This window comes from Homo sapiens, chromosome 17 (genome assembly GCF_000001405.40).
Source record: "Homo sapiens chromosome 17, GRCh38.p14 Primary Assembly".
Classification (NCBI taxonomy): domain Eukaryota; kingdom Metazoa; phylum Chordata; class Mammalia; order Primates; family Hominidae; genus Homo; species Homo sapiens.
The window spans coordinates 58,433,410-58,455,711 of record NC_000017.11 but is presented as its reverse complement, the minus strand read 5'-3'; the positions used below and the strand labels follow the sequence as shown (position 1 = coordinate 58,455,711).

The following is a 22,302-nucleotide window of genomic DNA, read 5'->3' as shown; positions in this document are numbered from 1 at the left end:
TGTGTATCTTCTTTTGAGAAATGTCTATTCAGGTCTTTTGCTCATTTTTAAAATCAGACTGTTTTTTGTTTTTTTATTTGTTTTGCTTCTGAGTTGCTTAAATTCCTTATGTATTGTGCATATTAACCTTTTGTCAAATGTATAGTTTGCAAATACTTTCTCTCTTTATGTAGGTTGTCTCTTCATTGTATTGTGTCTTTTGCTATGCAGAAGATTTTTTGTTTGTTGTAATCCCATTTGTCCATTTTTGTTTTTGTTGCCTGTGCTTTCGAGGTCTTATCCAAAAAGTCCTCGCCCAGTCCATTTTCATGAAGCATTTTCCCTATGTTTTCTTCTAATAGTTTCATAGTTTTGAATCTTACATTTAAGTATTTAATCAATTTAGAGTTGATTTTTATATATGGTGAGAAATTGGGGTTTAGTTTCCTTCTTCTGCATATGGACATCCAAATTTCCCAGCACTATTTATTGAGGAGACCGTCCTTTCTCCAATGTGTGTACTTGGCAACTTTTGAAAATCAGTTAGCTATAAATGTATAAATTTATTTTTGGGTTCTCTATTCTGTTACAATTGATTTAGATGTCTATTTTTATGCCTGTACCATGCTGTTTTGGTTACTATCGCTTTGGTAGTGTATTTTGAAATCAGGTAGGGTGATGCCTCCAGCTCTGTTCTTTTTGCTCAGGATTGCTTTGGCTGTCTGGGGTCTTTTGTATTGCTATATGAATTTTAAGAATTTTTTTTCTATTTCTGTGAAGAATGTCATTGGTATTTTGATAAGGCTTGCATTAAATCTGTACATCACTTTGGGTAATATGGACATTTTAACAATAATCTTCCAATCCATGCACATGCGATATCCTTCCATTTATTTATTTGTGACCTCTTCAACATCTTTCATCAATGTTTTATAGTTTCCATTGTGAGGATAATTCACCTCCTTGGTTAAGTTTGTTTCTAATTTTCTTGTAGCTACTATAAATGGAATTGGTTTCTTGATTTCTTTTTCAGATAGTTTACTATTGGCATATAGAGAAACACTACTGATATTTGTAAGTTGATTTTGTATCCTGCAACTTTACTAAATTCATTTATTAGTTCCAATTTTTTTGGTGGAATCTTTAGGGTTTTCTATGTATATGATCATGCCATCCACAAACAAGGACAATTAGACTTTCTCCGTTCCAATTTGGATGCCATTTATTTCTTTCTCTTGCCTAATTGGTCTGGCTAGAATTTCCAGTACTGTGTTGAATAAAAGTGGTGAAAGTGGGCATTCTTGGCTTGTTCCAGATCTTCGAGGAAAAGCTTTCAACTTTTCATCATTCAATGTAATGTTAGCTGTGGGTTTGTCATACAGGGCCTTTATCGTGTTGAGGTATGTTCTTTCTATGACCAGTTTGTGTTTATCATGAAGGGATGTTGAATTTTATTTTTTATTTTTATTTATTTTTTTATTTATTTTTTGTTTTGTTTTGTTTTTGTTTTTGTTTTTATTGATCATTCTTGGGTGTTTCTCGCAGAGGGGGATTTGGCAGGGTCATAGGACAATAGTGGAGGGAAGGTCAGCAGATAAACAAGTGAACAAAGGTCTCTGGTTTTCCTAGGCAGAGTGTTTGTGACAGAGTCTCACTCTGTCACCAGGCTGAAGTGCAGTGGCGCAATCTCGGCTCACTGCAACCTCTGCCTCCCAGGTTCAAGTGATTCCCCTGCCTCAGCCTCCCAAGTAGCTGGGACTACAGGCGCGTGCCACCATGCCTGGCTAATTTTTTTTCTTGTGTTTTAGAAGAGACGCGGTTTCTCCATGTTGGCCAGGCTGGTCTCGAACTCCTGACCTCAGGTGATCTGCCCACCTCGGCCTCCCAAAGTGCTGGGTTTACAGGTGTGATCCACCATGCCCGGCCAGGATGTTGAATTTTACTGAATGATTTTTTAGCATCTGTTGAAATGATCATGTGGTTTTCATCCTTGATTTTGTTAATGTAATGTATTACATTGATTGATTTGTATATGTTGAACCCTCCTTGCATCCCTGGGATAAATCCCCCTTGGATTATGGTGAATGATCTTTTTAATTTGTTGTTGTTGTTGTTGTTGTTGTTGTTGTTGTTTGAGATGGAGTTTTGCTCACTCTGTCGCCCAGGCTGGAGTGCAATGGCATGATCTTAAGCTCATCACAACCTCTGCCTCCTAGGTTCAAGTGAATCTCCTGCCTCAGCCTCCTGAGTAGCAGGGATTACAGGCGCCTGCCACCATGCCCAGCTAATTTTTGTATTTTTAGTAGAGACAGGATTTCGCCGTGTTGGTCAGGCTGGTCTCAAACTCCTGACCTCAAGTGATCTGCCTGCCTTAGCCCCCCAAAGTGTTGGGATTGCAGGCGTGAGCCACTGCACCCGGCCTGGTTTGCTAGTATTTTGTTGAGGATTTTTGCATGTGTGTTCTTCAGGGATATTGACCTGTAGTTTTCTTTTTTTGTTGTTGTGTTTTTGTCTGGTTTTGGTATTAGGGTAATGCTGGCCTTATAGAATGAGTTTGAAAATATTTCTTCCTCTCCAATTTTTTGGAATAGTTTAAGTAGAACTGGTATTAGTGCCTTAAATGTTTGGTAGAATTTAGCAGTGAAGCCATCAGGCCTTAGGCTTTTCTTTGCTGGGAGACTTTTTGTTTGTTTGTTTTGAGACAGGGTCTCCCTCTGTCACCCAGGCTGAAGTACAGTGGTGTGATTATGACTCACTGCAGCCTCAGCCTCCTGGGCTCAAGTAATCCTCTGATGTCAGCCTCCTGAGTAGCTGGGACCACAGGCATGCAACACCATTCCCAGCTATTTTTTTTTTTATCTTCCCCAATTTAAATCTTTTAATTTAAAAGTAAACTTCACTGTTGAACATGCAAACTTGGGGAGGGCAGAAAGATCACACACACAAGGCTGCCATTTCACACCTGGAGGGTGGCGTGGAGGCCAGGCAGAGGTGCTCCTCACATCGCAGATGGTGCGGCCGCTGGGCAGAGGTGCGCCTCACTTCCCAGATGGTGCGGTGACGCCTAGCTAATTTTTAAATTTTTTGTAGGAATGAAGTCTTGCTATGTTGCCTAGGCTGGTCTCAAACTCCTGGCCTCAAGTGATCCTCCTGCCTCAGCATCGCAAAGTGTTGCGATTACAGGCATGAGCCACCATGCGAGGCCACCTGGGAGACTTTTTATTACTGCTTTGATATTATTGCTCATTATTGGTCTTTTCAGGTTTTCTCTTTCTTTGTGATTCAACCTTGATACATTTTATGTGTTCAGGAATTTATCCATTTCTTCTAGGTTTTCCAATTTGTTGATGTGTAGTTGTTCATAGTAGTCTCTTATCCTTTGTACTTCTCTGGTGTTAGTTGTGATGACTCCTTTTTCAACTCTGATTTAGAGGTTTTTTTATTATTTCTTTCTTTCTTTTTTGTTTTTTTGTCTTTGTTTTTCGAGGCAGGGTCTCACTGTGTTGCGAAGCTGTAGTACAGTGGCACGATAATAGCTCACTGCAACCTTGAACTCCTGGGCTTAAGTGATCCTCCTGCCTCAGCCTTCCTGAGTAGCTAGGACTCCTCGTGTGTGACACCATGCTTGGCTAATTTAAAAATTTTTTTTTGTAGAGACAGGGTCTTGCTAGGTTGCCCAGGCTAGTCTTGAACTCCTGTCCTCAAGGAATCCTCCTGCCTCAGTCTCACAAAGTGCATTGCAGGCATGAGTCACACCTGGCCGTCCTTTTTTTTTTTTTTTTTTAAAGTCTAACTAAAGGCTTGTTTAGTTTGCTTACCTTTTCAAAAAAACAGCTCTTTGTTTTGGTGATCTTTTATATTGTTTTTTAAACTATTTTATTTATTTCTGCTGTGATCTTTACTATTTCTTTCCTTCTACTTATTTTGGGTTTAGATTGTTTTTGTCTTTCTAGTTCCTTGAGATGTAATATAATATTGTTTATTTGAAGTCTCTATACCTTTTTGATGTAGGCATTTATTGCCATAAACTTCCCTCGTAGGACAGCATTTGCTGTATCACATAGGTTTTTGGTAGTTGCATTTCCACTTTCATTTGTCTCAAGGAATTTTTAAATTTTCTTTTTAATTTCTTCGTAGATCCATTGGTTGTTCATGAGCATATTGTTTAATTTCCACGTATTTGAACAGTTTCCAAAGTTCTTCCTGTATTGATTTCTAGTTTTATTGCATGTGGTCAGAAAAGATATTTGACGTAATTTCAGTTTTAAAAAAAATTGTTAAGACTTCTTTTATGGCCTAACGTATGGTCTATTCTGGAGATTGTTCCATATGTTGTTGAGAAGAACATATATTCTGTAGCAGTTGGGTGCAATCTTCTGTAAATGTTTGTTAGGTCCATTAGGTCTAAAGCACAGTTAACTCTGATGTTTCTTTGTTGATTTCTGTCTGGATGATTTGTCCATTGCTGAAAGCTGGGTGTTTAAGTCCTCTACTATTATTATTTTGCAGTTGATCTCTCCTTTTAGGTTTGTTAATATTTGCATTATATATTTAGGTGCTCCAGTGTTGGGTGTGTATATACCTACAACTTTTATATCCTCCTGCTGTATTAACCCCTTTATCGTCATCATCATTATTATTTCTGAGACAGAGTTTCACTCTGTTGGTCAGGCTAGAGTGTGGTGGCACAATCCCAGCTCACTACAACCTCCGCCTCCCAGGTTCAAGCGATTCTCCTGCCTCAGCCTCCCAAGTAGCTGGGATTACAGGCGCCCACCACCATGCCCGGCTAATTTTTGTATTTTTAGTAGAGACAGGATTTCACCATGTTGGCCAGGCTGGTCTCAAACTCCTAACCTCAAGTGATCCGCCCACCTTGGCCTCCCAAAGTGCTGGGATTACAGGCGTGAGCTACTGTGCCTGGCCTCCTTTATCATTATTTTTTATTGGTTTTAATTAAAGTCCTTTTTTTTTTTTTTGAGATGGAGTTTCGCTCTTGTTGCCCAGGCTAGAGTACAATGGCGCGATCTTGGCTCACTGCAACCTCTGCCTTCCAGGTTCAAGTGATTCTCCTGCCTCAGCCTCCCAAGTAGCTGGGATTACAGGCATGCACCACCACACCCAGCTAATTTTATATTTTTAGTAGAGACAGGGTTTCTCCATGTTGGTCAGGCTGGTCTCGAACTCCCGACCTCAGGTGATCCACCTGCCTCAGCCTCCCAAAGTGCTGGGATTACAGACGTGAGCCATTGCACCTGGCCTTAAAGTCCATTTTATCTGATATAAGTATAGCTAATGCTCTTCTTGTTTGGATGATGGAAAAGATGGAACATTCTTCTCCATCCCTTCACTTTCATTCTATGCATATCTTTTTTTTTTTTTTTTTTTTTTTTTGAGACAAAGTCTCACTCTCTCACCCAGGCTGGAGTGCAATGGCGCGATCTTGGCTCACTGCAAACTCTGCCTCCTGGGTTCAAATGATTCTCGTGCCTCAGCCTCCCAAGTAGCTGGGATTACAGGTACACGCCACCAAGCCCAGCTAATTTTTTTGTATTTTTTGGTAGAAACAGAATTTCACCATGTTGGCCAGGCCAGTCTCAAACTCCTGACCTCAAGTGATCTGCCTGCCTTGGCCTCCCACAGTGCTAGGATTACAGGTGTGAGCTACCGTGTCCAGCCTATGCATATCTTTTTTTTTTTTTTTTTTTTTGAGACGGAGTCTCGCTCTGTCACCCAGGCTGGAGTGCAGTGGCGGGATCTCGGCTCACTGCAAGCTCCGTCTCCCGGGTTCACGCCATTCTCCTGCCTCAGCCTCCCAAGTAGCTGGGACTACAGGCGCCCGCCACTACGCCCGGCTAATTTTTTGTATTTTTAGTAGAGACGGGGTTTCACCGTTTTAGCCGGGATGGTCTCGATCTCCTGACCTCGTGATCCGCCCGCCTCGGCCTCCCAAAGTGCTGGGATTACAGGCGTGAGCCACCGCGCCCGGCCGCATATCTTTTTAAAATTAAAAAAAATTTTTTTTTTTTTTTTGAGATGGAGCCTCACTCCGTCACCTGGGCTGGAGTGCAGTGGTATGATCTCAGCTCACTGCAACCTCTGCCTCCCAGGTTCCAGCGATTCTCGTGCCTCAGCCTCCTGAGTAGCTGGGATTACAGGTGTCTGCCACCACACCCAGCTAATTTTTGCAGGTTTTGTAGAGACAGGGTTTCACCATGTTGGCCAGGCTTGTCTTGGACTCCTGACCTCTGGTGATCCGCCTGCCTCGGTCTCCAGAAGTGTTGGGATTACAGGCATGAGCCACTGTGCCCGGCACATTGTGTGCGTATCTTTATAGGTGAAGTGAGTTTCTTATAGGTAGCATATAGTTGGGTCTTTTAAAAAATCCATTCAGCCACTCTATGTCTTTTAATTGGAGAATTTAGTCCATTTATATTCAAAGTTATGACTTACAGGTAAGACTTATTACTGCCATTTTGTTAGTTCTTCTGGTTGTTTTGTAACTCCTTTCTTCCTTTCTTACTGCTTTCCTTTGTGGGTAAGTGATTTTCTTTGGTAGTTTATTTTAATTCCTTGCTTTTTATTTTTAGTGTATCAGTTATGGGTTTTGTCTATGATTACCACAAGGCCTACAAAAAACATCTTACAGTTATAATTTATTTTAAACTGATGACAACTTGACTTTGATTGCAAAGAAAAGAAAAGAAACAAACAAACAAGAAACCCTTAAACTCTATACTAACTCCATCCCCCTTCACACTTTGACTTCTGGATGTTATCAATTTACATCTTTTTATATTGCCTATCTTTTAACAAACTGTTGTAGTTATTAATCTTTCTTCTTTTTGTATTTATTATTTTTAATAGTTTTGTCTTAGGCTTTACACTAAAGATATCAGTGGTTTATATATCACAATTACAGTATTAGGGTATTCTGAATGTCTCTGTATGCTTACTTTTATCAACGATTTTTATACTTTCAGATGTTTTCTTGTTGCACATTTAACATTTCTAGTAAAACAGGTCTGGTGGTGATGAATTCTCTCAGCTTTTGTTTGGGAAAATCTTTATCTCTCCTTCATGTTTGAAGGATAGCTTTGCTAGGTACAGTATTCTTGATTGGCAATTTTTTTTTCCTTCAACACTCAGAATACATCATCCCACTCTCTCTTGCCTGTAAGGTTTCTGCTGAGAAGTCTGCTGCCAGATGTACTGGAGCTCCTTTGTGTGTTATTTGCTTCTTTTCTGTTGCTGCTTTTAGGATTCTTTCTTTGTTCTTGATCTTTAAGAGTTTGATTATTGCATGCTTTGAGGTAGTCTCATTTGGGATCTGCTTGGTGATCTCTGACCTTCTTGTACCTGAATATTTGTATCTTTCTCTAGGTTTAGAAAGTGTTCTGTTACTGTTTATTTCAATAAGTTTTCTACCCCTTTTTCTTTATTCCTTCTTTAAGGCCATTGAGTCTTATATTTGCTCTTTGTAATTCTGTCCCATAGATCTTATAGGCATTCTTTGTTCCTTTTAGTTCTTTTTTTCTCCTCTGACTATTTCCTTTTTTCTTTTTCTTTCTTTCTACCTTTTTTTTTTTTTTTTTTTTTGAGACAGGTTCTCACTCTGTTACCCAGGCTGGAGTGCAGTGGCCTGATCTCAATTCGCTGCAACTTCCACCTCCCAGGTTCAAGTGATTCTCATGTCTCAGCCTGCCAAGTAGCTGGGATCATGCCTGGCTAATTTTTTGTATTTTTAGTAGAGATGCAGTTTCTCCATGTTGGCCAGACTGGCCTCAAACTCCTGGGCTCATGTGATCTGCCTGCCTCGGCCTCCCAAGTGCTGGGATTACAGGCATGAGCCACTGCGCCCAGATGAATGTTCTTGATATTAGTGGACATTTGTCGATATCTGGGCATTAGAGAGTTAGGTATTTATTCTAGTCTTTGCAGTCTGGCCCTGTTTGTACCTGTCCTCCTTCAGAGGGCCTTCCAGAAATTCAAAGAGGACTGCCTGTTGAGTTCCCTAAGCCTGTGGTCACTGTAACCACTCAGCAGTAGAGGGCACCCTAAGCCCACGTACGCTGCAGCTCTTGCAGACTCCTAGTCTCCAGTCCTAATGAACTTGAGGAAGATCAGGGAGAGTTCCCTGGGTTCTCAAGTAAAGTCCCCCTACACTCTTCCCTCTCTTTCCCCCAAGTTGAAGGAGTTCCTGTCCATGCTGCACTTCCTGGAGTTTGGGGAGGGGTGACATGGGTATTCCCATGGCTGTGGCAGCCGGTGCTATGCTGGATCACACCCTAAGCCCACAGCATCACAGAGCAGCACAGTACCAGGTCTTGCCTAAGACCCTCTGTCACTACTGTCAGACTGCCACTGATACTTATTCAGGCCTGAGATCACTTTAGTCAGACAGTGGTGAAGCTGGCTGGGACTTGGGTCCTTCCTGCTGGGGTGGCAGATTGCTTTCTAGCCCAGGGTAGGTATAGAAGCACCATCCAGGAGCACTAGAGTGGAATCAGGGGCTTTGGTGTTCTGCCAGGTGCTGTGTTTTAATGTGGTGGGGCTGGTACTAGGTTCCTAGACAGAGTCCCCTGCACTCTTTCGTCTCTTTTTTTTTGAGATGGAGTCTTGCTCTGTCGCCCAGGCTAGAGTGCAGTGGCACAGTCTTGGCTCACTGAAACCTCTGTCTCCCAGGTTCAAGCGATTCTCCTGCCTCAGCCTCCCAAGTAGCTGGGACTACAGGCGTGTGCCACCACACCTGGCTAATTTTTGCATTTTTAGTAGAGACAGAGTTTCACCATCTTGGTCAGGCTAGTCTCCAACTCCTGACCTCATGATCCGCCCTCCTCGGCCTCCCAAAGTGCTGGGATTACAGGCATGAGCCACTGTGCCTGGTCTTCTCTCTCTTTTACACAGTAGTCTCTTACCACACTTTACTGTGTAGAGCTGGGACAGGGATGACGTGGCACTCAGATAGCTACTGCAACTGGTATTGTGTTGGGTCGCACCCCAAGCCTACAGCCTCCCACAGCAGTACAGTGTTAGGGCTCACCCAAGAACCACTGTTGCTCTGGCCTGCCTGCCACGGAAATTTATTCAGGACCTGAGGCCACTTTAGTCAGCCCACAGTGGATCAGGCCAAGACTCAGTTTCTTCCCACTGTGGCAGTGGATTATCTTCTGGCCCAGGGCAGATCTGAATGCCCCTTCCATGGGCACTGGCATGGAATCAAGGGCCACAGGATTCTGCCCCTTGCTGTATTTTGCTGCGATGGCACCAGTACTAAGTTCAAATGCAAAATCTCCCCCATACTTCCCTTTGCCTCTCTTAAGTGTACAGATTTTCTCTATGCTGCATTGCGTGGGGTTGGGGGTAGGGTGCTCTGGGCAATGTGAGACTGTCCTTTCTACCCTCTTCAATGTGTCTTTTCTTGTTATGCTAAATCCAGGCACTGTGATTCATCACCTGATTTCTTCAGCTCTTGTGAAGGTGTTTTCTTGAATGGATAGTTGATGTTCCTGTGGGGGGAGAATCACTAGAGGATTCAAAACTGCCGTCTTGCTCTGCCTCTGCCCCATTTTAACCTTTTTTTTTTTTTTTTTTTGAGATGGAGTTTCACTCTTGTCGCCCAGGCTGGAGTGCAGTGGCGCGATTTTGGCTCACTGCAACCTCTGCCTCCTGGGTTCAAGCGATTCTTCTGCCTCAGCCTCCAAGTAGCTGGTATTACAGGCGCCTGCCACCATACCTGGCTAATTTTTTTGTATTTTTAATAGAGACAGGGTTTTGCCATGTTGGGCAGGCTGGTATCGAACTCCTGACCTCGGGTGATCTGCCCACCTTGGCCTCCCGAAGTGCTGGGATTACAGGTGTGAGCCACCACTCCCAGCCCCATTTTAACCATTTTTAAGTGCACAGTTCAGTAGTATATTCACATTGTTTGAAACAGATCTCTAGAACATTTTTATCTTGCAAATCTGAAACTCTATATTCATTAAATACAACTTTCCTTTTCCTCCTTCCCCTGGCTCCTAGTAACCACCATTCTACTTTCTGTTTCTATGCATTTAACTATTCCAGGTACCTCATATAAGTGGAATCATGCAGCATTTGTATTTTTGTGACTATATTATGTTCTCAAGGTTCATTCATGTTGTAGCACGTGACAGGATTTCCTTTCTAAGGCTGAATAATATTCCTTTGTACGTGCATATGACATTTTGTTTATTCATTTCTTAATAGACATTTAGGTTGCTTCCATCCCTTGACTATTGTGAATAGTGCCACTGTGAACTTGGGGGTGGAAATATCTGTTTTGTTTTTCCTTTTAAGAGATGAGGCCTCACAATGTTGCTCAGGCTAGACTCAAAACTCCTGGACTCAAATAATCTTCCTTTCTCAGCCTCCCAAGTACTGGGACTACAGGCGTGTGCCACCGCGCCTGGCTCCAACTATCTCTTTGAGACCCTGATTTCATTTGCATGTATCCAGTAATGGATTGCTGGATCATATGGTTAATCCAATTTTTAATTTTTTTAGGAAACTCTGTACTGTTTTTCATAGCTGCTATACTATTTTATAATCCCACCAACATTGCAAAATAGTTTTAATTTCTCCACATCCCCATCAACATTTATTATTTCCTGGATTTTTTTAAGGAAGGCTTCTGTAAGTAGCCATCTCAGTGAGCATGAGCTGATAGATACCTCATTATAGGTTTGATTTTTTTTTACATTTCTCTGATAATTAGTGATGTTTAGTATCATTTGTATACTCATTGGCTGTTTGTATATCATCTTTGGAAAATGTATATTCAAGTCTTTTGCCCATTTTTCAATTGGTTTGTTTGATTTTTTGGTGTTGTTCAGTTGTAGGAGTTTTTAAAACATATTCTGAATATTAACCCCTTAGCGAATATGATTTACAAATATTTTCTCCCATTCTGTGAGTTGCCTTTTATGCTATTTTGTCCTTTGATGAGCAGACACTTTTAAGTTTGATGTAGTCCCATCTGTCTATTTTGCTGTTTTTTCTTTTCCTTGTGCTTTGTGTGTCATATCCAGGAAAGCATTGCCAAGTCCAGTGTCGTGAAGTTATCTCTCTCTGTTTTCTTCTAGGATTGTTATAGTCTTAAGTCTTACATTTAGGTCTTTAATCCTAAAGACCTAAGTTAGTTAGTTTGAGTTAGTTTTCATATATGGTGTAAGCGTTTAACTTCATTCTTTTGCATGTGGATATCCAGTTTTCCCAATACCATTTGTTAAATAGAGAGATTGTCCTTTCCCCAGTGAGTGGGCTTGGCACCCTTGTTGAAGGTCATTTAATAATATATGTGATATTTAGTCTATTGAATATTCATTGATATATTTGGCTGAATTTATGCCAGTAGCACACTGTTTTGATTACTGTAGCTTTGTAGTATGTTTTGAAATCAAGAAGTGTGAGTCCTCTAACTTTGTTCTTTTTCAAAATTGTTTTGGCTATTTGGGTTCCCTTGAGATTCCATACGAATTTTAGTATGAATTTTTCTATTTCTTTAAAAAAAATTCACTGAGATTTTGAAAGGCATTGTATTGAACTGTAGATTGCTTTGGGTAGTATAGACATCTTAACAATATTTCCAGTCCATGAACATGGAATGTGTTCTACTTATTAGTGTCATCTTTAATTTCTTTCAGTACTGTTTTGTAATTTTCAGTGTAAAAGTCTTTTGCCTCATTCGTTAGATTTATTCCTATTTTATTCTCTTTGATGCTATTGTAAATGAAATCTTTACTTTTAAGTTTTAATCTCACAAACAGTGCACAAATACATTCTCCTTGTAAGAACTGCTAAGGCCAGAATTCCCTTTGACTACTACCTCCCCATACTGTTCCCTTTATGTCTTCCCCAGACGTAACCACATGTTTTTTCTACATCATCTTAGTAATGGCACAGTCACTCGAATAAGCAGATAACCTTTTCAGATAATACTCCGGAGGGAAAAGTTTCTCTTATATAAGTTTGGGTATATTTGTTAAAAATTATTCTCATTACTTTATGGTTACACGTACTAGACTACTGAACTAATATAACAAGAGAAACTAAAAAGAAAGTTAAAGGATAGATACCTCTGATTATGATTTAAGAACAGTATATTCAAAGGTTCAGAGACAAGATGCTTTCCTGAGTGTATACAAAGGAAGAGATGCTTGAGACTGAGGGATGGGGTTGGTTGGTAGGGGATGGGTTGAGGCAGAGGGCTCGAGAGCAGGCAAGTTGATTAACGGGTCATATATAGAGTAGTTAACACATCCACATATCCTTGCCTCCTTCTGAAGAGCGTTGGTAGGTAGAAATTGGATGTTTCTCCTTTAAAAAAAATGAAAGACAGGGGTGGGACTTAGAAATCTCTGTTTCAGCAGTCGTCAAGTTGGGGAACTAAGAATGAAAGGACTGATCAGATGCAGTGGCTCACACCTGTAATCCCAGAACTTTGGGAGACCAAGGCAGGTGGATCACAGGGTCAGGAGTTCGAGACCAGCCTGGCCAATATGGTGAAACCCTGTCTCTACTAAAAAATACAAAAATTACACTTTGGGAGGCCAAGGCAGGCAGATCACGAGGTCAGGAGGTTGAGACCATCCTGGCTAACACAGTGAAACCCCGTCTCTACTAAAAATACAAAAAATTAGCCGGGCGTGGTGGTGGGCGCCTGTAGTCCCAGATACTCGGGAACTGAGGCAGGAGAATGGCATGAACCTGGGAGGCAGAGCTTGCAGTGAGCCGAGATCACTGCCACTGCACTCTAGCCTGGGCAACAGAGCGAAACTCTGTCTCAAAAAAAAAAAAATGCAAAAATTAGCTGGGTGTGGTGCTGCATGCCTGTAGTCCCAGCTCCTCAGGAGGTTGAGGCAGGAGAATCACTTGAATCTGGGAGGTGGAGGTTGCAGTGAGCAGAGATGGCACCACTGCACTCCAGCCTGGGCAACAGAGACTACATCTCAAACAAAAACAAACAAACAAAAAAGAATTAAAGGACTAACTAAGTCTAGCCCATCTCTTCCACTTATGAGACAAACTCTACTTGGTTTGTCTCAGATATGCAAGGCTTATTTTTCAAATGTTAATGTTATTCACCATATTAACAATATAAACGAGAAAAACTATGACCATTTAATAGATGCAGGGAAAGCATTGGACAAAATTTTGCACTATTTTATAGTAAAAACTCTCAACAAACTAGGAATGGCAGAAAATTCCTCAAACCAATAAAAGAGTATCTATAAAGTGTGTACAGTAAAGATCATAATGGTGAAAAGCTAAACCATTTACCCCCCAGAGACTGGGAACAAGGCAAGGATGGCCACTTTCCCTACTTATCTTCAACACTGTACTGGAGGACCTCACCCTTGAAATAAGGTGAAAAGTTATATACATCCTGTATGTTTACAACTCTTTGACTTTGATCACATAGCCACAGCCAATTAATTTTAGGGTAGTTTTGGAAAAGAAATCTTTGGCTAGGTGACCATGTACCCACCTAAGCATTCCACCACCATGGAAGAAGAGGTAAATGACTTCTGGGGGACAGCCTCTGCCAAATCCACTGCTTTGACTACCCAATTATCAGAGCACAGCCATGTTAGTATACACAGAACATGCTCACATTCTCCCCAAGAGAGACAATGCCAAAGACCCATACAATTATGGCATCCTGCTTAAAGTCAGGATCTCTTGAGTATTATGAAATTCTTTTCTGTTAGATGGCTCTTCTTTGTCTCGTAACATAAAAAACAAGTTATCCATCCTCCCCCCTCACTCACACATACCCAAATTAGAGTATTAGAATAGGATATGTAACAAGTAAAACTTTCACTCAAAAAAGAGAAAAATAGGAAACATACAACAGTCGCTGTTTCACAGCATTTATCAAATCCTGCTGGATGGAAACTGCAAAGATTTTCTGCCTTGACAGTAGGATAAATTCCTTGGTTAGCCCATCAGTGAAGCCCTGCTTTTGCTTTCTGGGAGTATTTTTCTATTTGTTGTCTCCATCACCTCTGGCGTTCCCTTCCAAGAGGGCTCTTCCTGGTTCACTATCCTTCATGGACTCATCTGAAGTGGTCCTCAGGGATATGCTTTTTTTTTGGAATGATCAAGTTTTTGTTGCCTACTTCTTTTCAAAGCCAACTTTTGTATTTGTTAATTTTTTCCATTGTCTGTTTTCTATTTCATTGATTTCTACTCTTATCTATATTATTTCCTTTCTCGTATCACTTTGGGTTTACTTTCTTCTTCCTTTTCTGATTTTTTAAGGTGGAACTTCAGGTCACTGATTTTAGATCTTCTTTTCTAAGATTAACATTTAAAACTATACATTTCCCTTTAAACATCGCTTCAGCTGCATCCAGCAAAGTTTGGTGTTGTATTTCCATTATCACTCAGTTAAAAATATTTTCTTTTTCCTTGTGATTTTGTCTTTGATTCATGCATTTTTAGATTTATTCCCAGATATTTAAATAAATTTATATTTATTTCCAGATATTTGAGGTTTTCCTAGTTACTTTATTGTTATCGATTTCTAATTTAATTGTGTTGTGGTCAGAGAATACATTTTGTATAATTTTGATCCTTTATATTTATTGAGACTTGTTTCATGGCCCAGTGTATGGTCTATCTTGGTGAATATACCATTTGCACTTGAAAGTAATGTGTATTCTGCAGTTGTTAAATGTAGTGTTCTATCTGTCAATTAGATTAAGTGTTGATTATGTTGTTCACATCTTTCCTATTCCCTGAATTCCCTATGTCTTAATTTTTTTAAACCTCTCATATTTTTTTCCTCCACATTTCCTTTTTGAGTTATTTCTTCTACCTTCATGTTCACTCTTTCTCTGAGACTAGGTCTAATGTGCTGTTTGACTCATCCACTGAGTTATTAATTTGATTATTTTTCAATTCTAGGATTTCTGTTTGTTCTTTTTTCCAGACCTCTGGTCACATTTTTGAGTTTCTAGTTATCTGCCAAAATTTTTCAAGCTTGGAATTTGCCTCCTTGAAATAGTAAGCATGGTTGTTTTCTTGCTGAATTCTGGTAATTCCAGTATATGGAGTTTCCACAGGTCTCTTTCAGTTGTCTCATTTGTGTTGGTTCTCAACCACAGTGGCTACTCCCTCATGTAACTGGTTATTTTCGCTGTATGCTGGACATAGTATTTGAAGAATAGTATTTGAAAAGTTACTTGTAAAAATAATTTAAGGCCTAGGATGACATTATCTTCCTCAAATAAGATTTGTTTCTACCAGGCAATTGGGGTCACTGGCAATTAGGGATCACCTTAATCCAGTTCAGAGCCTGAGATTTTTCTGACCACAAACTGTGCAAGGGCTTGTTTCCCTGTGGTTCATCCTCTCCTGGGTGCAGCTTATTGAGATCCTAGCCATAAAAGTGGGAATCTCATCAGAACTCAACCTTTGACAAGCCCAGTCTCTGACATTTGTCCCTCTAGACCCAAAAGGCAAAGCTCAGCCTCTCAATCTCCTACAGATGGCAAATGTCACAAAGGTAAAAGTAGCCTCAAATACAAGGCTTACTCTCTGGATCCCCACTCTCACCTGACACTCAGCCCAGTCATTCTTTACTATCTCATTACCTTTTGAGACTTTTAAAGAATATTGTTTCTATCATCTGTCCAGGTTTTTTAGTTGTCTTCAATAGGAAAGCTGGTCTTAATTATCAGGCCTGACATTACCAGAAGTGGTCATATCATTAAAAAAAAAAATTCTTACCTCTTTACCCTTCCATTTTTCCTATTTTTTCTTTAGTCCAGTATTGGATATGCTGAGATGAACTTCTCTCTCTGTTTTTTTCTTTCAATTTTGTTATACTTTTATCTTTTTTCTATTTTGTGGAATGTTCCTCAGATGAAACTTTCAAATGTTTAATTTTAAAAATTTGGCTACTAAATTTATAATTTCCAGTTGGGCATGGTGGCTCATGCCTGTAATCCCAGCACTTTGGGAGGCCAAGGCGGGCGGATCACCTGAGGTTGGGAGTTCCAGACCAGCCTGACCAACATGGTGAAACCCCGTCTCTACTGAAAATACAGAATTAGCTGGGCATGGTGGCGCATGCTTGTAATGCCAGCTACTCAGGAGGCTAAGGCAGGAGAATTGCTTGAACCCGGGAGGTGGAGGTTGCAGTGAGCCGAGATCGCGCTATTGCACTTTAGCCTGGGCAACAAGAGCAAAACTCCGTCTCAAAAAAAAAAAAATTATAACTTCTAACAGCTCTTTTTTATTCTATTCTATAATTGTTCCTTTTTGGGGGAACTTGCTGTTCTTTTATATGGATATAATATCTTCTTATAGCTCTCTGAGGATACTAAATGGAAGGGCTGGTTTTGAAGTTGTTTCCCCACAACATATGTCAGTTTCCTCTACGTTCTTTCTGGTTTTTTTTTTTGGTTGTTGTTGTTTTTGTTTTTTTTTTCCATTGGCTTTCTTCCCTATTCAAGAATGGAGCATTAAAAAGCTTACAGAAGCTCTGTTGACAAGATTTGTCAACTGTTGGGCTTAGCTTAATGTTAATCAGCATGTACCACCAATTTTTTTTATTTATTATTATTTTTTTTTTGAGGCAGGGTCTCACTCTGTTGCCTAGTCTGGCACGATCATAGCTCACTGCAGCCTTGATCTCTGGGCTAAAGTGATCCTCCCACCTCAACCAACCTACCCCCAACCCCCCAAAGAAGTAGCTGGGACTACAGGCACATGCCACCACACCTAGCTGATTTTTTTTTACTTTTCAAAGAGATGGAGTCTCACTGTGTTGCCCAGGCTGATCTCCAACTCCTGGTCTCAAGCAATCCTCCCAACTTAGCCTCCCAAAGTGCTGGGATTACAGGTGTCAGCCACCATGCCTGGCCTTAAGGCACTTCTTAGTGCAACTTCAGGTTGGGGTATTGAAGCAGTTGGATTCATGACCCAGTTACTGAACTCTAGTCAATAAGTTGTCAACCACAGGCAGTCAAATATTCCCTTCCATCTCTGCTTGCACACTAGGTACCTCTAGCCTGAGTTTATCTCTTCTTTTAGGGCTTTGCTGAATGTGTCAAGAAATAGTCAACACCTTGTGATTTTTGTCAATCTTTTCCCCCATGGTTGTATGTTCACTTGGCATGTGTGGTCTGACTTCCATGGTGTCACAGGTAATGATTTTACCAAATATGTTGGCATGGATAACAAAGATCACCAACATTCTAGCTTGCTGTGTCCTAACCATGTGCTGCCTGACTGCAAAGCCAGTAGCACATATAATCATGTATCCCTTAATGACAGGAATGTATTCTGAGAACTATGTCATTAGTTAATGTTATTGTTTTATAAACATTGTGAATTGTACTTACACAAACCTAGATGATGTTGCCTACTACATACCTAGGCTGTATAGTATAGCCTATTGCTTCTAGGCTACAAACCCTTACAGCATGTTACTGTATTGAATATTGTAAGCAATTGTAATACAGTGGTATTTGTGTATCTAAACATAGCTAAGCATAGAAATGGTACAGTAAAAATAGAGTACAATCTTACAGAATCATCATCATCTATATGGTCTGTCACTGACCAAAATCAACCAATTATTTTTTTTTTTGGCAATTTGATTGGCAAAACTTTAACTGTTGATAATATCCAGCTTTGATAAAGGTATAGAGAAAAGGAACCTTCTCTATGCTGTAATTGGAATGTAAATTCGTATAGCCCTATAAAGGACAATTGGCATTATTTATAGATAACTAAAATGCTTATGAGTTTTGACTCAGGAACTCTACTCCTGGGAATCTCTCCTGTAGAAATGTGTATATTCCCAAAGGTACTCAAAATAAGTTTGCTATAGTGTTATTTATAATAGCAAAAATTTGAGAAAAGCATAAATGCCTGACAGTGGGGAACCAGATACATTATGACATCTACATAATAAAATACTGTGCAACCATTTAAGAAACTGAAGTAGCTTGATGTGTTGTGACCTGGAAAGACAGTAAGTGTTCATAATGTGTTCAGCAAATGGGTAAGTTGCAACACAATATGTCTAGCACAACCCCCTTTCTAGAAAGAAAGAAAAGAAAGTATATGCTGTAAAATTATAGAAAAAAGTCTGGAGATATACGATATAGCTGATAAATATAACACTAGTTATCTCTCAGAAGATAGAATGTATGGGTGCAGGGGTATGCTTAACTTCTCAATTTGTATATGTATATATAATAGGATTACGGGAAATTTTCACCATCTGTATTCTTCTATGTTTTTCAAATTTTAAAAAATCTAAAAATACTAAAAGTAGTTTAAATACTTGAAGTGTTCCTATAGCAGGAATATAAAAGCCTTAAAGTAATAGAAATGAACAATTTCAGAGTGTTTTTAAAAAATATTTATATCCCAGATAGTAAACTGACTTTTGAGGTTTAGATATGATTGACTCAAGATAAACTTACCCTATACCAAGAATGCCTTTCTAAGATTTCTGAGACTTTCTAGGGTTCACAGTAGCTTTTATTTTTGAGTTTCTGCTTAAATGTAATTCCAGACTTGTCCATATCTGACCTCCCAGGGCTGTTCTTATCTGTCTGTTCCATGCTATACCAGATGCAGAACTTGGCCCACTTTCTTTGACCTCTTCCTCCCTTTAAGCATTATGCTAGGCATGTGTATGTGTAGCACACTTTTATGAAGATGTCGGGAGGCAGAAATACCGACAGAAATATTTAGAATACCGCAAAAATGGAATTAAAAGGCCCCCAGTCACTTTACGGCATCTTTCCTTGTCACTAGTCAATATGGTCCTCTGCCATGTTGCTTTCTTTCCTTGTACTAGCACCAGACCTTCGTTTCTCTGCTTTCTGTTGTTGTTGTTGTTATGGTTGGTTTTTTTTTTCTGCTCTTTCCCCAGGTGCTGAATTCCTGTGTTTTACTTAGGCAAAGAAGGTTAGGTATCTCTTCTATTTTTTGATGTTTTTAAGGCGTCATTTTTCCCAACCAGAACAATCTATCGAGACATATTCCTCAACAAAGACAATTACCTCCCTGAGAGGAACTCTGGTGCCTGCTGTTAAAAAAATAATTTCCTCTCTTTCACTACATGTTATGGTTATAAGTGTAACTGATAAAATAATTAGCACAGTAATTATCTTTATTAACTCTTCCTGTTGTTTTTTTTTTCTAAGTAAAGCCTTATCCTTTGGTCAGTGCAGTTAATAGATGAGTCTTAATTGATGTTGGCTTCCTGCTGTGAAACATAAGAGTTGTGAAATCTTGGCATCATTATGACACCTAATCACATTTTCATTTTATTATGGACAAGAGGAAAATGAGTTATGATTAAGCTAGAACCTCTCTGCTAAAAAAAAAAAAAGTTTTTTAATTAAAGTGTAGGCAGAAATACAATTCATGAAGTTGCAAATGATTCTGCTCTGATAGACCTTGGCCTAGCAGTTGGTCTATGAAAACATGGCTATATGTAAGGTCCCATGGCATTAAGAGACCTTAACCAAAGTCAATGTGTGAGATTAATATACTGCTCATTAAAAACAGTACAGCATATGGTTAGAAAGAAAGCTTTTGGTGTTAGAAAAACCTGCATTAAAACCTGGATTCTGCTCTTTACTGTGTGACCTTGGACGTGTTTACCTAACTGAGCTTTGGTGTCCTCATCTGCAAAATGAGGAATATGGATTATAATGATATAAATCATAGAACTGGCTTAGTATTATGCTGGGTTACATAGTAAGTAGTCCATACATAGTAGCAATAGAATTTTAGCTATTTTTATAACATTTACTTTTTTTTTTTTTTTTTTTTTGAGATGGAGTCTCGCTCTGTCGCCCAGGCTGCGGTGCAGTGGCGTGATCTTGGCTCACTACAAGCTCCACCTCCCAGGTTCACACCATTCTCCTGCCTCAGCCTCCCGAGTAGCTGGGACTACAGGCGCCCGCCACCATGCCCGGCTAATTTTTTGTATATTTAGTAGAGATGGGGTTTCACCATGTTAGCCAGGATGGTCTCGATCTCCTGCTCGCCTCAGCCTCCCAAAGTGCTGGGATTACAGGCATGAGCCACAGCGCCCAGCCAATATTTACTGTTCTTATGTTTATTACCACTGGTTACTTTTCAGATGGCTAGTCTCTATTTATTTATTTATTTGTTTATTTATTGAGCTGGAATCTCACTCTGTTGCCTAGGCTGGAGTGCAGTGGCGTGATCTCGACTCACTGCAACCTCCGCCTCCTGGGTTCAAGCGATTCTCGTGCTTCAGCCTCCCAAATAGCTGAGACTACAGGCATGAGCCACCACACAACTGATTTTTGTATTTTTAGTAGAGATGGGGTCTTGCCATGTTGGCCAGGTTGGTCTTGAACTCCTGACCTCAGGTGATCTACCCACCTTGGCCTCCCAAAGTGCTGGGATTACAGGCATGAGCTACTGCACCCCGCCTTAGTCTCACTTTAAATTCACGTAGGCTGTCAGTGTTGCAGCAGTCCTATAATATTTTCTAGTCAATATATTCCCCATTCTCCAAAGCCACTCTATTATATCCTGTCCTCTCTGCTCCGTTTCCAACACTCCTCCTCTCTCTTCATTCGTGGCTGTGACCCTGTTTTATATCTTACTGAGAAAATAGAAGCAGCTAGAATGAAGCTTTCATATCTTCCCACCAACATATTTATCAGTCTACTTCCAATTGTAACCCTACACGCTGCCTTTCCTTCTGTTATAATGGAAAAGGGCCAGTCCTTTCATTTGTATACAGAATCCTGTCCCCTTTGGTGTACTCACAGACTTAGGACCTACTGCTATCCCCCTTACTCTTCAATAATCACATTGTATCTTTATTTTTGCTTTCCCCCTAAGGCAGAGTCTTCCTCTGTCATCCACGCTGGAGTGTAGTGGTGTGAATACAGCTCACTGCAACCTCGACTTCCCGGCTCAAGCAATCCTCCCATCTCAGCCTCCTGAGTAACTGGGACCACAGGCTCATGCCACCATGCCCAGCTAATTTTTTTAATTTTTATAGAGACAGGGTCTTGCCATGTTGCCCAGGTTGTCTTGATTTCCTGGTCTCAAGTGATCCTCCTGCCTTGGCCTCCAAAGTGCTGGGATTATAAGAGTGAGCCACAGTGCCTGGCCACATTTTATCTTTTTTTTTTTTTTGAGATGGAGTCTAGCTCTGTTGCCAGGCTGGAGTTCAGTGGCAAGATCTCGGCTCACTGCAACCTCCGCCTCCCAGGTCAAGCGATTCTCCTGCCTCAGCCTCTTCCCAAGTAGCTGGAATTACAGGCACGCGCTGCCACATCCAGCTAATTTTTGTATTTTTAGTAGAGATGGAGTTTTACCTTGTTGGCCGGGATGGTCTCGATTTCCTCCCAAAGTGCTGGGATTATAGGCATGAGCCACTACGCCCGGCCTAACATTTTATCTTTTATGTTAGATAATTCCCATCAGCATGCAAACATGTCGTCATAGGTTCTATGTTTTAAAAATCCCTTTGGGCCAGGCACAGTGGCTCACGCCTGTAATCCCAGCACTTTGGGAGGTTGAGGCGGGTGGATCACCTGAGGTCAGGAGTTCTTGACCAACCTGGCCAATATGGTGAAACCCCGTCTCTACTAAAAATACAAAATTAACCAGGCGGGGTGGCATGCGCCTGTAATCCCAGCTACTCGGGAGGCTGAGGCAGGAGAATCAATTGAATCCGGGAGGCGGAGGTTGCACTGAGCCAAGAACACGCCACTGCACTTCAGCCTGGGCGACAAGAGTGAAGCTCCATCTAAAAAAAAAAAAAAAAAAAATCCCTTTGACCTTTCCTTCATACCTCCATGTAGCTATTCCTCTACTTTTTCTGCTTTCCTTAGAGCAAAGCTCCTTGGAAGCATATCCTTACTTCAACTACTCCAAGCAGATTTTTCTTTCTTCTGCTCAACTGAAACTTCATTTGTCAAGGTTTCCAATGACTGCCATGTTGCCAAATCCAGTAGCCAATTATCAGTCCGTATTTTACTTAATTCACCTCAGCAGCATTTGAACAGATTATTTCAACCTTCCTGAAATGCTTTCTTCTGGCTTGTGGAACATCTCCCTTTCCTAGTTTTCACTGGCCAACTCTGTAGTTTCTTTTACTGAATACTCTTCAACTTTCCTAATTTCTAAATATTGATGAACCCCAGAGCTCAATTCTTTCTCTCTCTCTATTCAATTCCTAGGTAATCTTAACCAGTCTCATGCTTTTATTATCACCTTTGTAGTGGTGTCTCCGAAATCTGTATCTTAAGTCTCAATCTTCTCTGAACCTCA

General features: G+C 40.4%; 1 protein-coding gene across 2 annotated transcripts in view, besides 1 other annotated feature; it reads left to right on the top strand.

The window, feature by feature from the left end:
* The window catches only part of HSF5 (heat shock transcription factor 5), a 68,242-nt gene that overhangs the window by 32,697 nt on the left and 13,243 nt on the right, over positions 1-22,302 (top strand). The gene's annotated exons all lie outside the window — the stretch shown is intronic.
* Positions 9,107-9,701: an enhancer, noted in NCBI's record as "NANOG-H3K27ac hESC enhancer chr17:56523372-56523966 (GRCh37/hg19 assembly coordinates)". NCBI's record gives its function as "activates a minimal SCP1, AML or CMV promoter by ChIP-STARR-seq in naive H9 embryonic stem cells {active_cell/tissue: H9 hESC(naive)}" and the evidence as "EXISTENCE:reporter gene assay evidence [ECO:0000049][PMID:30033119]".